Source organism: Homo sapiens, chromosome 14 (genome assembly GCF_000001405.40).
Source record: "Homo sapiens chromosome 14, GRCh38.p14 Primary Assembly".
NCBI classification, from domain to species: Eukaryota; Metazoa; Chordata; class Mammalia; order Primates; family Hominidae; genus Homo; species Homo sapiens.
This window is the reverse complement of record NC_000014.9, coordinates 78797823-78813497: the sequence shown is the minus strand read 5'-3', so window position 1 is coordinate 78813497 and position 15675 is coordinate 78797823. Positions and strand designations below refer to the sequence as shown.

Below are 15675 nucleotides of genomic sequence, written 5' to 3'. Positions count from 1 at the left end.
ATTAAGCAAGGTACCCTATGACTTCTATTGAAATAGCAGCAAGAGGTAAGGCTCAGGGAAAACCTCCTCTCCCTCAAACCCAGGGTGCAAATACTCTCACAGTTGAAAATCAGATAAGAGTAAGGACCGGCACACCTATTACAGAGACAATGTGAGATCCTGTAACAGGTCAAGCTATGAAATCTGACATGGAGTCAATAAGAAGAGGGGCTTAGAAGTTCGGATCATGTAGGCCCTTTTTCTCTCCAAATTTAATTGCATAGTCTTCTCAAACTTTTCCACTCAAATGCCAATAATACCAGGGATGAAATAGAGAAGATTCACAATAAAAATGAAATGTCTTTGAATTCTTATGTTTTTTTCTTAAAGATTTATGCTTATTTGCATTCTTCTGCATAATATATCAACTTGGTTTCAATTTAAACTTTTACTCCATATTAACAATTAAAATTAGCTTCAGAAAAAAAATGTATTATATTTACTTTGTGACTCTACATAACCCTAGATACGTGGTTACATTGTTTAGCTCTAAAGGTGTTAGATTAGTTTAAAAGACCCATGTATATTTGTTTTTTCCAGTCAAACACTGGTCAACCATTGAGCACTGTATTATTTCTCTGATATTAAATTTCCAACAAAATAAATGTTCTTAGTACATTAAAGGTTTATTGTGAAAATCTCAAAAACAATTTCCAAAATCTAATCTTGATTCTTTATGTAAGTATTGAATTGAAATCAGTTATATTCTTTCTATACTTTGTGATCAAAGCTGGGAATATAACTTTGCTGACATATTTTCCTCTCAATGCTGTTTTTGGTGGGGTGTAAATAGAAAATATTTTATCAGATTAAGAAAACCTGCTGTCATCTGTGTCACCATCTTCCCAACAGAGGTAATCCTGGGAGTTGTCTTATGATGACTTTCCGTGGCTGATCATGTGGAATATATGGGATTGACTTCATGAGAAAGTGTGGATAGAACAGCAAAAGCAAATTCTGATATCCTGATTAAATAACTGCCTCAGTTCCCTGTTCTCCAAATAAGTCTCTGAAGCTAGAAGATGCTAGATGTAGCTTCGGATACGAGGCTTTCCACCTTCATGCTGGGTTTCCACCTTATTTCCTTCTGAAAACCAATGCAAAAGGAAAGAGAAAATATTTCCATAGAAATGCCATTAAAATTTTTTGAAGAAGCAAGATACAATGACTATATAACAATTTGTCTAATTCCATGTACATAAAATGTCCAAAAAAGGCATATTTATTGGAACAAAGCACACCAATAGTTACCTAGGACGATGGGTAGGAGCAGGGATTAGCTACAAATGACCAGAAAAGAAATCTTGGGGATGATGGAAATGTTCTAAAATGTGATTGTGGTGATATTTGGACAACTTTATAAGTTTAATTATCATCCTTAAACTGTAGGTTTATGATGGGTAAATGTAGTGGTATGAAAATTGTATCTCAATAAAGCTGCTTAAAAAAACAAACAAACCAAAAAAACAGGAACAGAAAACTCCAGGCTTTGGAGAGAAAGGATGTTTCAATTAGGCTTTTAATGATCTAAATATCATGACAAATTTCTGGCTAATTAGAAATATTTAAACACAGAAAATAGGCCATTGCTTAAAATAACTGTAAGTGATGCCAAGACAAGGATAAAGCACTCTATTTAGTAAGCAGTTGCTTATATCGATATTTTAAATTTCTTCTTTTTGTGTTAACTTAGATGGAACATTTGCCCCCCAAAAAGTAGAATTGGGCTTTATTAGTTTGTCATGCCTATAATATATCTTCTACCAAGAAAGAAGTTTAAACTAGCACCTATAAAAGACTTACTAGGATGGAATCAACAAGTAAACCAAATGTAAAAGTTGGATTTTTCCTAGTGAGGAAAGAATTTTAAAGATGATGAGATACTATGGAGAATTACATGTGCTAGATATCAACTAATCCAGTTTTTCTTCTCCTGGGTGCACTAGCCGACTACATTTCCCAGCTTCCTTTGCATGTAGGATGGAGTCATGTCTAGCAAACCAAATATGGATAGAAGCGATGTTTGTTACTTCCAGGCAAGGCAATAAAACCTACTGCACAACCACCCAAGCTCTCTCTCTCTCTCTCTTCCCTACGGATACAGCCAGAAGTAAAGAACTCCGAGGTGGTGGACCCACCTCATGGAAGGATCCTAGATCCCTGAATTACCTCTTTGAAGAGAGCTGTCTGGGAAAACTGACCAATTAGCATTGGACTTTGACTGAACAAGAAATAAAACCTTCTTTTGTTGAGCCATTATAATGTTGGGATTGCTTGTTACAGTAGTTAGTATTAATAAGCCTAATATAATATGCTATAGTACTCAAAGCATATTTCTTCCTTTGTTCCTTTCATCATCTAGGCCTATTCTTTCTCTTGTGCCTATTCTTCCTATTTATCTTCATATTCCCCTTCTACATGTTGACTCAAGCTAATGTTTACTTCTAAGGAAGAGGAAGAAATACATGAGTAGTTTTCATCCTGTGCCTTGTTAGGACCCTTCTTCAAGAACTAGGGTATCTGAATGGGATAAGGTGAAAATAATACTGCAGTTCTTCCTTTTGCAGAGACAGAGTGTGTCTCAAGTCTTTGGTTAAAGTGTTGCCTTATCACCAATAGCAGTGATCTGCCCACCTGCTAGAAGTTCCCAACAGAGATAAATACTGGGAAAGAAATGTCAGAGTTGGCAGCCACCTGTGGGTCAAGAACAGTGCTTTTATTTTCTAAACTGTTTGGTAGTGGAGAAGTGCATGCTGGTTGCCCTAAAGCTTTTTGTTCACTCTCAGAGTTACCTCCCAAAAACAATAAATCATCATTTCAACTTGATTTTTCATTATTTCATTATTCATGTGCCCTTGCCTTCTTTTCTTCATATAGAGCAAATGCAAGGAAAGAAGAGAGGACCTGCCCTCACTTCAGAAACCACACCCAAAACCACACTCAGCCCTTCACCCTCACCCAGCCCCCCATCTTCTTAGCCCCAGGTCCCCCCCACTCCATTGTTAAAAGAAAAAATAATTCAAATAAAAAACAGCTCATAAAACAGTAAACAAAATAAAGTCAGTTTTGTTTTTTTTTTTTAAAGAACAAAATGAAACTTGAGGGAAAACTTACTGGAGTTACAGTTTATCCTGATACAGTCTAGATGGGGAAAAATAAATGAAAGATGAAATTGCATCCTTCAAGGTAACAGCTGCAGACATCCAAAAACAATCAGTCCACCCTTCCGGGGACAGACACACGTAAGAAATGTGGCCATTTTATATATATAAAGTATGTACAAGTTTAAGGGTGGGTGTATATGTACAGTATATTATTTAGTAAAGTTGGATACATATATATATACACACACACACATATATATACACATATGTATAGAGATATATACTGGTATACATATATATCCACAGTAGACACCAAACATTTTTTTTTTTTCAAAAAAAGCTATTCTTTTATATAAAGTATTTCAAACCTGGACTTTGAAATATTAATTTTGTCAAACTTGGAAAAATAGGCAATAATTCCCCCCACCAAATGCAGGTTATATTCTATTTTCCTCTATAATTTATTTTCTTAAAATTCGTTTTTAAAGTAGCATTAACACAATTTTTGTATTAGTATTCCAAAGACATATCACCAGTCTGACTGATTGTATCATTTAAAAAATCTGCCCATGAAGTTGCTCAGTGACGTACTTAACCCTTTCTCTTTTTCTAAAATCAAACTCCCTCCACCCTCTCCTTAGGTTGGGCCCCAAATGCTATAGAAATTTGCATAGGCACACTTGCCATCTTCCTTAGTGGTAAGGAAAGGGTTAACACCACCTGGTCATTTCCTGTCATAAAATGGCCACTTGCAAACAGCTAACCGCACAAACACCCATCCCAGATTTTAGAGAGGTGGGGTCGGGTGTAGGGTCAAAGGAGTTGTATGATGTTATCACAATGAATTGGGTTCTCTGATTGCTAGTGATTCAAAGGCTCCCAGATCAACCCCCTCGCGCAGCCCATCTCTGTCTTCCTGCCTGAATACGCAGACTGAATCAAGTGCCCACAGCATTCAGGGAGAAGGCAAGCCAGGCACGTGTGGAGGAGGTCTCGGCACCTTTGACATCTTGAGTATTTTTCACTCTGTGATTCCACATCTTGAGGAGAGAAAATTTTTTGGTTTTTGTTTCACTTTTTTAAATGGGAAAGGGAGGGAAGAAAAGAGTGACCAACTGGCCAGAGCTAGTAATCAGACAAGGTATTCTGTGCCAGAGATCAGCATATCTATCATTGTATTAATCTCTGCTTGGGAGTCATGGACACACAACATAGAAGTCCTTGAGTAGAATCAGTGGGCATAGTAGGGGACTGGGCAGAAAAGGTCAGAGAAAGGTCTCAGGTTAGTTGTTACCAAGCTGCCCGGTTCAGCCTAAGGTTGGTTTATCATGGTGGAAATTCCAATAAGGATTTGTTTACCGTTAGATACTAAAAGGTAGAAGCGAAATGATTTTTTTTTTAAAGGAAGAAAGATAGAGGGGAAAATATAGTCACAAAGTACTCTTCTTCTGCTTAAGGTTGACCCAGTAGTTTTTAGAGGACTTGTCAAGGATGATGCCACCATTTGAATTCCCCAAAGTGAATCATTTTAAAGGAGCAAGAATAAAGGGGAGAATGAAGCTACGTGAAATCTGGAGAGGAGCGATTTATAGCACCCAGTTATTCTGAGTAAGGAGGCAGAATGCTTATTTGTTCCCGAGAAGAACATCTCTTGAGAAAAATCTGGGTTTGGTTTCGTGCGGTTAGGTTTGTCATGTGTCGTCAACCGCAACAGAAAAGTGGGAGCAAACAGCCCTGGAGCAACCGGTATGATTACCAGACAGAGGAGGCCATGCCCCTGGTGAGGACTGGAAGGAGGGAGGGCAGGGAGGGAGGAAGAGGTGATGGCTTCAGCTACTGACTGCACCTACCATCACCCAAAGCTGGAGAAATGTCCCTTCCTGACATATTAAAGAGAGAGAGGAAACTGGTGTATGGGCACGCTTATGAGAGGAAGAGTGAGCCTAAAGCAACAAACCCAAGGACTGCAAACAACAAGTGGGTTTTGTCTTCGGCTTCTGCATAGCTGAGGATTTTATTATTAGACAAGAAGCTGGCCTAGTGAGAGGTGGTGGCTTGGGCTCATCTTTCTGGATCACTCAAATGATTTCATGTAAAGTGGATGCGGTCTTTAAACCAATGTAAGAGCTTGGCGCTTTCAAGATGGCAGACAGTTTGTTTACTTTACCTCAATATGTGAAGAATTACTTTGTTATTTTACCTGAAGAACAAGTGGTTTGAGAAGGAAAATCTATCCCAGAGCCTTCTTGATAGGCTCTGAGGGGGTGTTCTTGTTACTGAATGTGTATGTATATATGTATAAATATGTGTGTGTGTGCGTGTGTATATAGACACACGCACACATACACATTTATATATGTGGTTTTTTAAATAAAAAATATGAGTCAAAGAACTGAGTTGGGAAGGCAATTTCCTTTAAATCTACGTTTGGTAGCAGCCAGACTTTTTGCTTGAAAAAAGTCTGCCTAAGTCTTGGCATATCTTTTGATGTGTATGTGTTCATATCTGTGTGTTGCCTGTTTTAATTTTGTTTTGTTTTAAATTATGGTAAATGATAGAAAGTTTTTTTCTTTCTTTCTCTTTCTTTTTCTTTTCTTTCTTTTTTTTTTTTTTTTTTTTTGAGACAGAATCTCACTTTATTGCCCAGGTTTGAGTGCAATGGTGAGATCTCGGCTCACTGCAACCTCCACCTCCTGTGTTCAAGCGATTCTCCTGCCTCAGCCTCTCGAGTAGCTGGGATCACAGGCACGCACCACCAAGCCCAGGTAATTTTTGTATTTTAGTAGAGATGAGGTTTCACCATGTTGGCCAGGCTGGTCTCCTGACCTCGTGATGGGCTGCCTCGGCCTCCCAAAGAGCTGGGATTACAGGCCTAAGTGTCTGTAATTAGATTAAGGTGCCTGGCCAAGAAAGTTTTTCTCGTTGTTGAGCTTTGGGTCGAGCATGGAAGAGGTAAATGTTTCTAAGAGCTGTGTGTCTTCAATAATGTGTTTGGTAAACAGTAATAGCAAGTCCACATTTCCAGAGAGAGAACATCTGGAGAATTCAAATGCAATTTACCAAACTACATGCCACTCCCTCAGAGTCTGCCATTGAAGAAGGGCTCCTGGCACTCTGCTAAGGATCTTTTAAAGGTTTTGTCCATATCAACTGTCTTTTCCCTAGTGCAGCTCAATTCAAACTGGGCACTGAGGAAAATGGAGATTCTCTCTGTGTGTGTTTCAAAGGTGACCATCATAAAAACAATTGGAAGCCATTAAGACTAACACATCATTGACCCATAGTGCTGATCTGTGAAGGAAACAAATAACGCAGGCTGATCTAGCAGTTTAGAGACATGGGTTCTAGTTCCAGCTCTGTCTCCAACTTTTTATGTAAGCTTTGAAAAGTAATATATTTCTCTCTGTGCTACACATCTGTAAAAGTAAGCATAAAAACACTTGCTTGATTTATCTCACAAAATTATCATGAGATTATCATTAATCGCATGAGATCCATGAGATCATGAGATTAAAATAAGATAAGGTCTTTTAAATCTTTAAATATGCTGTAATAATAAAATGTTATAGCTTATAATTCTAAAGAATCAAAATATGGTTGATCAATAGTCAACCTCTCAACTTTTTAAAAGTTGTGCTGAGTTATAGGATATTTCTCATACCTGTTAGCACCACATATGGCTGCCTGCAGAAGATAAAGCCATTGGAAAACCCTAGTCTCCTTGACATTTGGAAGATATGTTACATCAGAGAAATATATACTAGGCTTTTATATCATGAATGCATATGTGTGATCAATTTGAAATAAACTAAAATATTGTTAGTGCATGGGCTAGAAAAAAGACACAACTTGAATAGAGTGAGGGAGCAAAGTGATCATTTGAAATTAATTTTGGTGGAATGCATGTGAAGACAAATTCTACTTGGATACATTTTCTTCTGTAATTGAGAAAAATGAAACACAAATTCACGGCAAAGAGAAAGAAAATATTTGCAAAGGGGTATATTTTGGGGAGGGAACGGAAGGAAAACCTTTAAACAAGGCGTGGATATGAAGAGCTGCATTTACACAAGCATGAGAGTTTAAGTTCAGTTTTCCATGTCAGGTTGGAAAGAAAGTTAAATAAATTCAAACCAGTAATTATGATGAACCTATCCTTTGGTGTAAAAAAAATTAACTATGGCTTCTGGACAAGCACAGTGCTCTCTACAGAGAGGCTACCTCTCCTTTGCCTGAGATGGTTCAACGCAGCAGGAGCTAGATTGAAATTGCAACAAAAGAAGCCAAAGGGGAAAAAAAAAAAAAAAAAGCAAAGTCTATTGGAAAAGCACATCTCTCAGACTTTGACTAGAGTTTAAAATACAAAAATAATGCTTCTAGAAATGCATGTGGGATGTATGACCAACTCAAGGTGTATGTGTGTGTGTGTGAGAGAGAGAATGAGAATCTGTACACTTATTTCCTTATTTCTTATACGCTTTTATTTGTACCCCCACTGACCCCAGTTTTTCCTTCTAAGATGTGAGACCTGTCAAAGTTGACACTCTAATCTTTACTAAACAACACCTAATGGGGAAAAAAATGTCTGTTTAATGACACTGTGTACACTCCCTCAGGATCGCGTGGGGCTGAATCATTCTCATATGTTTGTCTCTCTCTGACTTTGAAATAGATCCAGAGATAAAAATTGTCTTCATCATCTTTTTCAGTGAGCTAGTTATGGGGTTGTATTTGGTTCTGTTTTTTTTTTTTTTCTGTTGTTTTTTTCTGAGGAGATAATCAGCTGCTGGCTGTTGGTTTTAGGTAACACACTCTTATATTGATTTAAGGTGGGTAGGATGGTGCAGGGATGGAAGGTAGTAGGGTCAGGGGTATGCCAGTCTCTGTAGGCTGCTCAATACGCTGTGTTCTCAAGGCTGTTTGCTATGCGGGCCGCAGGCTTTGGGCCTTTGAAGGGTTGAATACCATCTTTTGATTTACCATGGTTGATGGCGGGGAGGATTGGAAACTCAGGAACACACGCACACAAAAAGATCCAGCAAAAGAAAAAAATATAACCTAAAATGACCAAACACACAATACACAAACAAAAGAAAAACCAAGAGACACACTGACAACAGAAATCAAATGAAGTTGGACAAGAAAAAGAGCACGGTACTGTAAACACTGAAAACTAGAAGAAAAAAAAAAGACATAACTAAAGAAGTCACTGCTCAAAACAGTCCTTTGTGTCCCAGAGATTTTAGGTTTATGATGTAGGCATTTTCCAAGTGTGTCCAGTTGACCTGACAGCAGATAAGATTGGTATGGATTCAAAAACCCCACCTTCCCACCAGGACATGTGGGCCTACATATGATCTTGCATCTGGTACATTTGTTCATCATTTTTTCTCCATGGCTCTGACAAACCATTTCACTGAAATCTTTATAAGGTATCACTGTATCCAAACATATTCTACGTACCCAAATACATTCACTAGCTTAGAAAGTTTGGACCCAGCTGTCTCACTAATCTTATCAATGCTGGGTATTGACTTTCTGCTGATTAGAAACAGCAGAAATGGAGTGTTTGTTTGTTTTTTCCTTGCCAAAAACCAAGAGGATCCCAATCTCTATAGAATATCAATTAGAATTCAGTAAAGGTCAATAGCAGAAGAGAATATGAGGCCATATAAAGGAAAATTTCTAAAGATTCTGTTATAGGTAATTACAATGAAAGAGAAAATCCTATTCCAATAAAGCCACAAATTTGAAGTCATAATTTTTCAACTCTGAGGTAAAATAGATATGTATTATATAAGAAGAAGAGAGTTATTAGTGAGTGATAGTACAAGGTAACAATCTTTGCACAAGGGGATGCTGAGTGATGGTTAAGAATGTCAAGAAGAAAAATGGGTATACGTATCAGGAGACACATTTTCCTTCCACGTGTCACAGACTCAACTTAGGGAATTATTTTCCAAGGGAACAACAATCTACTTGTCCTCCCTCTAGGAGAAAGTCAAAGGAGATATCAGTGTCATCAAGGCCACCAGAATTCTCCATTTGAATAGTAGCTGTGGAGCTAGAAACAATGTACTTCTCACCCTACCCACAAAGTTTAATTTCCTACAACCCCACCATCAACATTTTGCCTCCACTTCCTGCCCTGTCCCTGACCTCAGCTGTGACTGTTTTGAGTGGTGACTGAGGAGTTGGACTTATGGGAATATGATTGATCAAAAGATGGACCAAAGTAGCGTGTTTTACACAAAGCTAAACGATTCCAAAAAACCAAGAAAGGAAACTTAGAAAACAAATAATCTAGTAAAGAAATCACCACTGTCAGAAACCAGAAATTGACATCAAAACCTCATGCAGAAACAAGGAGAAGGTGATCGCTGCTGTTGGGTTTTATCCTGGGTCTGTTAAACAAGAGGTGAGCAGCTAACTTTCAAGAAACAAACAAAGAATTCAATCAAACCAATGAAAATCAGAAAAGAAAGGGAAGACAAGCCCAAACGAAGTGGCAGAGGGTACTTCATACGATACCTAAGTTAACCATGAGCTTGACACGCCCCCCATCCAGCTCCAGACGCAGGGTGTCGGCAGAGTCCCTGGAGGTCGTAGCCACCAGCAGCCCATAAGCTCGCTGGGACATGAAGCGGAAGGACACATCCTCTGCCTCAGTATGCATGACCATGGGCATGATGATCTTCATGTACATGCTACCATCATAGCTCAGGATGGATGCCTCTGCCAAAGAAGAATGGAGAAGATCGTTAGGATGACGGATGTCACAGTTGCCAAATACCCCTTTGCTTTCAGGCTAAGCGAGTAGAGAGGGTGCCAGATTTGTAGCCTAGTGACTTGTGTTTGATGAACCCTTGTTGTTACCACCTTTTAATCTGTGTGACGCTGGGCAGACCACTTAACCTCTGAGGCTCTATTTCCTCATTTGTAAGGGGATTATGATGACACAGGTACCTGCCCTACCAGGCTCATAGACTTGTGAAGGGTACCAAATTAAATAATGGATATGAAGATATTTTGAAAAAGTCAAAACGCCCCTCACAAATAGTATTGTTTGCAATTCTGTATGCGATAGATAAAACACAAGTACATAAAACAAAACTTAGAATCCCTGTATTTCATGAAGAATAGGAGGAGAGCAGCAGTTTATAACCACCAGAGCAGACAAATCGATATTTACCAGAGAGCTTTTAAAGGAAGGAAAAAGTAGCAGCATGGTCTGGCATCATAACATCCCCAGTGTCCAGCCATTGTGAGAGTTTGGCCCATTCAAAGAATATCTGATAGAGGCAGAGTTAGAACAATAACATAAAGCTAATGACACCCTTGAAAAACTCATTTTACTTTTATTCAAATAGGGAAAGAGGAAAACTGACTTATTTTTATTTTTTATTTTTTTGAGACAGTCTCACTCTGTTGCCTAGGCTGGAGTGCAGCAGTGTGATCTTCGCTCACTGCAGCCTCTGCCTCCCTGGTTCAAGCAATTCTCCTGCCTCAGCCTACCGAGCAGCTGGGATTACAGGCGCATGCCACCATGCCCAGCTGATTTTTAGATATTTTGTAGAGATGGGTTTTTGCCATGTTGCCCAGGCTGGTCTTGAACTCCTGACCTCAAACAATCCACCCACCTTGGCCTCCCAAAGTGCTGGGATTACAAACGTGAGCCCACTGCGCCTGGCTGAAAACTCACTTTTATTTGATACCTTCCTCAGTCTGAGGTTACCGACAATTTGTTACCTCGATTAACACTATAGTGTGATTCTATTATTCCTACTTGCAGACAAGAAAACCAAGACTTTTTTTATTATTATTATACTTTAAGTTTTAGGGTACATGTGCACAACGTGCAGGTTAGTTACATATGTATACATGTGCCATGTTGGTGTGCTGCACCCATTGACTCGTCATTTAACATTAGGTATATCTCCTAATGCTATCCCTCCCACCTCCCGCCACCCCACAACAGGCCCCAGTGTGTGATGTTCCCCTTCCTGTGTCCATGTGTTCTCATTGTTCAGTTCCCACCTATGAGTGAGAACATGTGGTGTTTGGGAAAACCAAGACTCTTAAAGGGGTATGTTATCATCCCAAAGTCACACAGCATCTCTGGATTTGACTCAATATATCTGATACCAAGTCCAGGGGCTGTTTTGAAACACTATGATGTTCAACATGTGAATTTGTTTAAATATTCACTAGGCAAATAATTTTAGAAAACACAGGAAGAGAATATCACTCACATTCCTAGGAATCAAACCAGTCATTGGGTTCAGTATCTGTCACTGAGTAGGTCTTTATTAAATATTGGCTGTTGTCAAATATTTGCTACCTACATGCACTATGGAGAATACAAAGGTGAAACAGACAAGGTCCCTGTTCTAAAGGGAGACACAGAATGCACAAGTAACTGTACTGGAACATACAAGTGGTTAAATGACACAGGAAATAAATACAAAGCAAGTAACATTCAGAGGAGGGAAGCTGAAGGATGAAGGCAATTAAGGCAGATGGGATAGAGTCTGTGTTGGTCTTGGTAGATGGGTAGGGTTTGTAATGAAAGAAGCAATGGCATCATATTGAACAGGTAGATCAGGTAGTATCTCTATAGACATAAAGGAAAGAAAGAAGGAGGATGCTCAGATTATAACAAACTATTCAATTTAACAGAAACATCTGATGTGGTTTGGCTCTGTGTCCCCACCCAAATCTCATCTCAAATTGTAATTTTCATAATCCCTATGTGTCGAAGGAGGGGCCTAGTGGGAGATAATTGGATCATGGGGGTGGTTTCCCCCATGCTGTTCTCATGAGTTCTCACACTATCTGATGGTTTTGTAAGTGTTTGACAGTTCCTCCCTTCACATGCTCTTTTCTCTCCTGCCGCCTTGTGAAAAAGATGCCAGCTTCCCTTTCCATCAGATTGTAAGTTTCCTGAGGCCTCCCAAGCCATGCAGAACTGTGAGTCAATTAAACTTCTTTCCTTTATAAATTACCAGTCTCATGTATTTCTTTTCTTTTTTTTGAGACGGAGTCTCACTCTGTCATCCAGGCTGGAGTGCTGTAGCGCGATCTCGGCTCACTGCAAGCTCCGCCTCCCAGGTTCATGCCATTCTCTTGCTTCAGCCTTGCAAGTAGCTGGGACTACAGGCACCTGCCACCATGTGCGGCTAATTTTTTGTATTTTTAGTAGAGATAGGGTTTCATCGTGTTAGCCAGGATGGCCTCAATCTCATGACCTCTTGATCCGCCCTCCTTGGCCTCCCAAAGTGCTGGGATTACAGGCGTGAGCCACTGCGCCCGGCCTCATGTATTTCTTTAGAGCGGTGTGAAAACAGGCTAATACAGCATCAGACATATAATTTTTAAAATGGTTATCATGTAAGGTAGTTTGAGACCGGAATAAAATCAAAGGACTTGGGCATCTACTGGAAAGTAAATGGTTTTAGATTATGAGATACCATGATATATTCTTCTGTGCTTACTGATTGCCAGGCACTATTCTAGGTGATAGACGTAACAGTGAACAAAAGAGAAAAACACCCGTACCCTCATATCTAGAAAGAAGTGAAACAGGGAGAAACAAGAGTCAGGCAGACCACATTGAAGGGTCCCAAAATAGTCTGTGTTGTTATCATATCCCTACTCTGTTCAGATACCACACAAAAGATGAAAAGTAATATAAATGCACTTATGATAGTCCTGAAAATCAGCCATCTCCCAGGTAAAACTCATGACATGCTAACAGCTGCACATTACAATTTGCAAACTATAAAGCGATTACAGATAAAAGTGTGACAGTTGCAAACACCGTTACAATAAGACATATTATGAAGATCTCTTCTTAGATTGGAAACAATCTAAATTTAACACATGATCCAGATGTGAAGCAAAACAAAACAAATCTTTTATCTCCTGGAAGGGCAGAATCTAAAGAAGATCAATAATGATACCTAAAATTGAGCATTTACTATTCGCCTGGTGCTTTCTAGGACTTTATATGCATTAAGAAGTCATTTAATCTTCAAGAACACCATGAAGACTTTATTATCTCATTTTCTAGATATCAAGTAACATGGCTAATAAATGGCAGAACTGGGAGTTGCATGCAGGCGGTCTGATTCTCCCAGCTGTATACTTAACAGTCCTGCCAAATTGTCATAGAGCTATGCCTGGAGCACACCCATGCTTCCAAGCACCAAAGCACATCCATAATGCTTCATGATGGAAGTTCTTGTGTTTGTATGTGCACGCATATACAAACACGCCATTCATTAAAGTTATATATTATAAATATACAAAATTTTTATTTCTTCTATTCAGATTGCATAATCTCTATTGTTCTATTTTCAAGTTTGATTATTGATATGATTTGGCTGTGTCCCCGCCCCAACCTCATCTTGAATTGTAGTTCCAATAATTCCCACATATTGGGGGAGGGACCCTGTGGGAAATAATTGAATCATGGGGGCAGTTTCCCCCATACTGCTCTCATGGTAGTGAATAAGTCTCATAAGATCTGATGGTTTTATAACGAAAAACCCCTTTCGCTTAGCTCTCATTTTCTCTCTTGTCTACCATGATATAAGACAGGCCTTTTGACTTCCGCCATGATTGTGATTGTGAGGTGTCCCCAGCCACATGGAACTGTGAATCCATGAAACATATTTTTCTTTATAAATTATCCAGTCTCTGGTACATCTTTATCAGCAGCATGAAAATGGACTAATACAGTAAATTAGTACTGGGAGTGAGGCACTGCTGTAAAGATACCTGAAAATGTGGAAGCAACTTTGGAACTGGGTAACAGGCAGAAGTTGGAACAGTTTGGAGGGCTCAGGAAAAGACAGAAAAACATGGGAAAGTTTGGAACTTCCTAGAGACCTGTTGAATGGCTTTCACCAAAATGCTGACAATGAAATTCAGGCTGAGATGGTCTCAGATGGAATGAAGAACTTTTTGGGAACTGGAGTAAAGATGACTCTAGCTATGTTTTAGCAAATAGACTGGCAGCATTTTGTTCCATGCCCTAGAGATTTGTTGAACTTTGAACTTGAGGGAGATGATTTAGGGTAACTGGTGGAAGAAATTTCTAAGCAGCAAAGGATTCAAGAGGTAACTTCGGTGTCATTAAAAGCATTCAGTTTTAAAAGGAAAATAGAACACAAAGGTCCAAAAAAGTTGCAGCCTGACAATGTGATAGAAAAGAAAAACCCACTTTCTGAGGAGAAATTCAAGCCAGCTGCATAAATTTACATAAGTAATAAGGGGCCAAATGTTAATCGCCAAGACAATGAGGCAAATATTTCCAGGGTATGTCAGAGACCTTTATGGCAGCCTCTCCAACTGCAGGTGCCCCAGAAGCTAGGAGGAAACAATGGTTTTGTTTGTGGCTGAGCCACACCCCCAAACCCCTCGCTGTGTGCAGCCTAGGGACTTGGTGCCCTGTGTCCCAACCACTCACGCTATGGCTAAAAGGGGCCAAGGTAGAGCTCAGGCCGTGGCTTCAGATGGTTCAAGCCCCAAGCCTTGGCAGCTTCCATGTGATATTGAGCATGTGGGTACACGGAAGTCAAGAACTGAGGTTTGGGAGCCTCCACCTAGATTTCAGAGGATGTATGGAAATGCCTGGATGTCTAGGCAGAGATGGGCTCCAGGGGCAGAGCCCTCATGGAGAGCCTCTGCTAGGGCAGTGCCGAAGGGAAATGTGGGGTGTGAGCCCCCACACAGAGTCCCCACTGGGGCACTGCCTAGTGGAGCCGTGAGAAGAAGGCCACTGTCCTCCAGACCCCAGAATGGTAAATCCACTGACAGCTTGCACTGTGCACCTAGAAAAGCCATACAAACTCAAAACCAGCCCATGAAAGCTGCCAGGAGAGGAATTGTACTCTGCAAACCCACAGGGGTGGAGCTGCCCAAAGCCATGGGAACCCACCTCTTGCATCAGCATTACCCAGATGTGAGATATGGAGTCAAAGGAGATCATTTTGGAACTTTAAGGTTTAATGACCGACTTACTGGATTTGGGACTTGAATGGAGCCTGTAGCCCCTTTGTTTTGGCCAATTTCTCCCCTTTGGAATGGCTATATTTATGCAATGCCTGTACCCTGAATATATTTAGGAAGTAACTAACTTGCTTTTGATTTTACAGGCTCATAGGCAGAAGAGACTTGCCTTGTCTCAGATGAGACTTTGGACTGTGGACTTTTGAGTTAATGCTGAAATGAGTTAAGACTTTGGGGGACTGTTGGGAAAGCATGACTGGTTTTGAAATGTGAGGACATAAGATTTGGGAGGGGTCAGGGATGGAATGATATGGGTTAGCTGTGTTTCTACCCAAATCTCATCTTGAGTTGTAGCTCTCATAATTCCCGCATCTGTGGGAGGGACCTGGTGGGAGATAATTGAATCCTGGGGGCAGTTTCCCCCATACTCTACTCATCATAGTGAATAAGTCTCACAAAATCTGATGGTTTTATAGGAGGAAACCCCTTTTGCCTGGCTCTCATTTTCTCTCTTGTC

The 15675-nt window shown here is 39.9% G+C and overlaps 1 protein-coding gene across 52 annotated transcripts in view; it reads right to left on the bottom strand.

Moving 5' to 3' along the window:
- Positions 1-15675, bottom strand: part of NRXN3 (neurexin 3) — a 1697919-nt gene that overhangs the window by 1054794 nt on the left and 627450 nt on the right. For 41 of the 52 annotated variants that reach the window (NR_158973.1, NR_158975.1, NR_158974.1 and 38 more), the window contains 2 exons: positions 9675-9878; positions 3154-3180 (listed from right to left, as the gene is read on the bottom strand). Coding sequence is in view for 46 of the 52 variants with exons in the window: in XM_011537363.2 (XP_011535665.1) it covers positions 3154-3180; positions 9675-9878 (231 nt within the window). In the remaining 6 variants the exon portion in view is untranslated. The remainder of the gene's footprint in view (positions 1-3153; positions 3181-9674; positions 9879-15675) is intronic. The other 11 variants (NR_073547.2, XM_017021798.2, XM_047431948.1 and 8 more) reach the window with 1 other exon arrangement.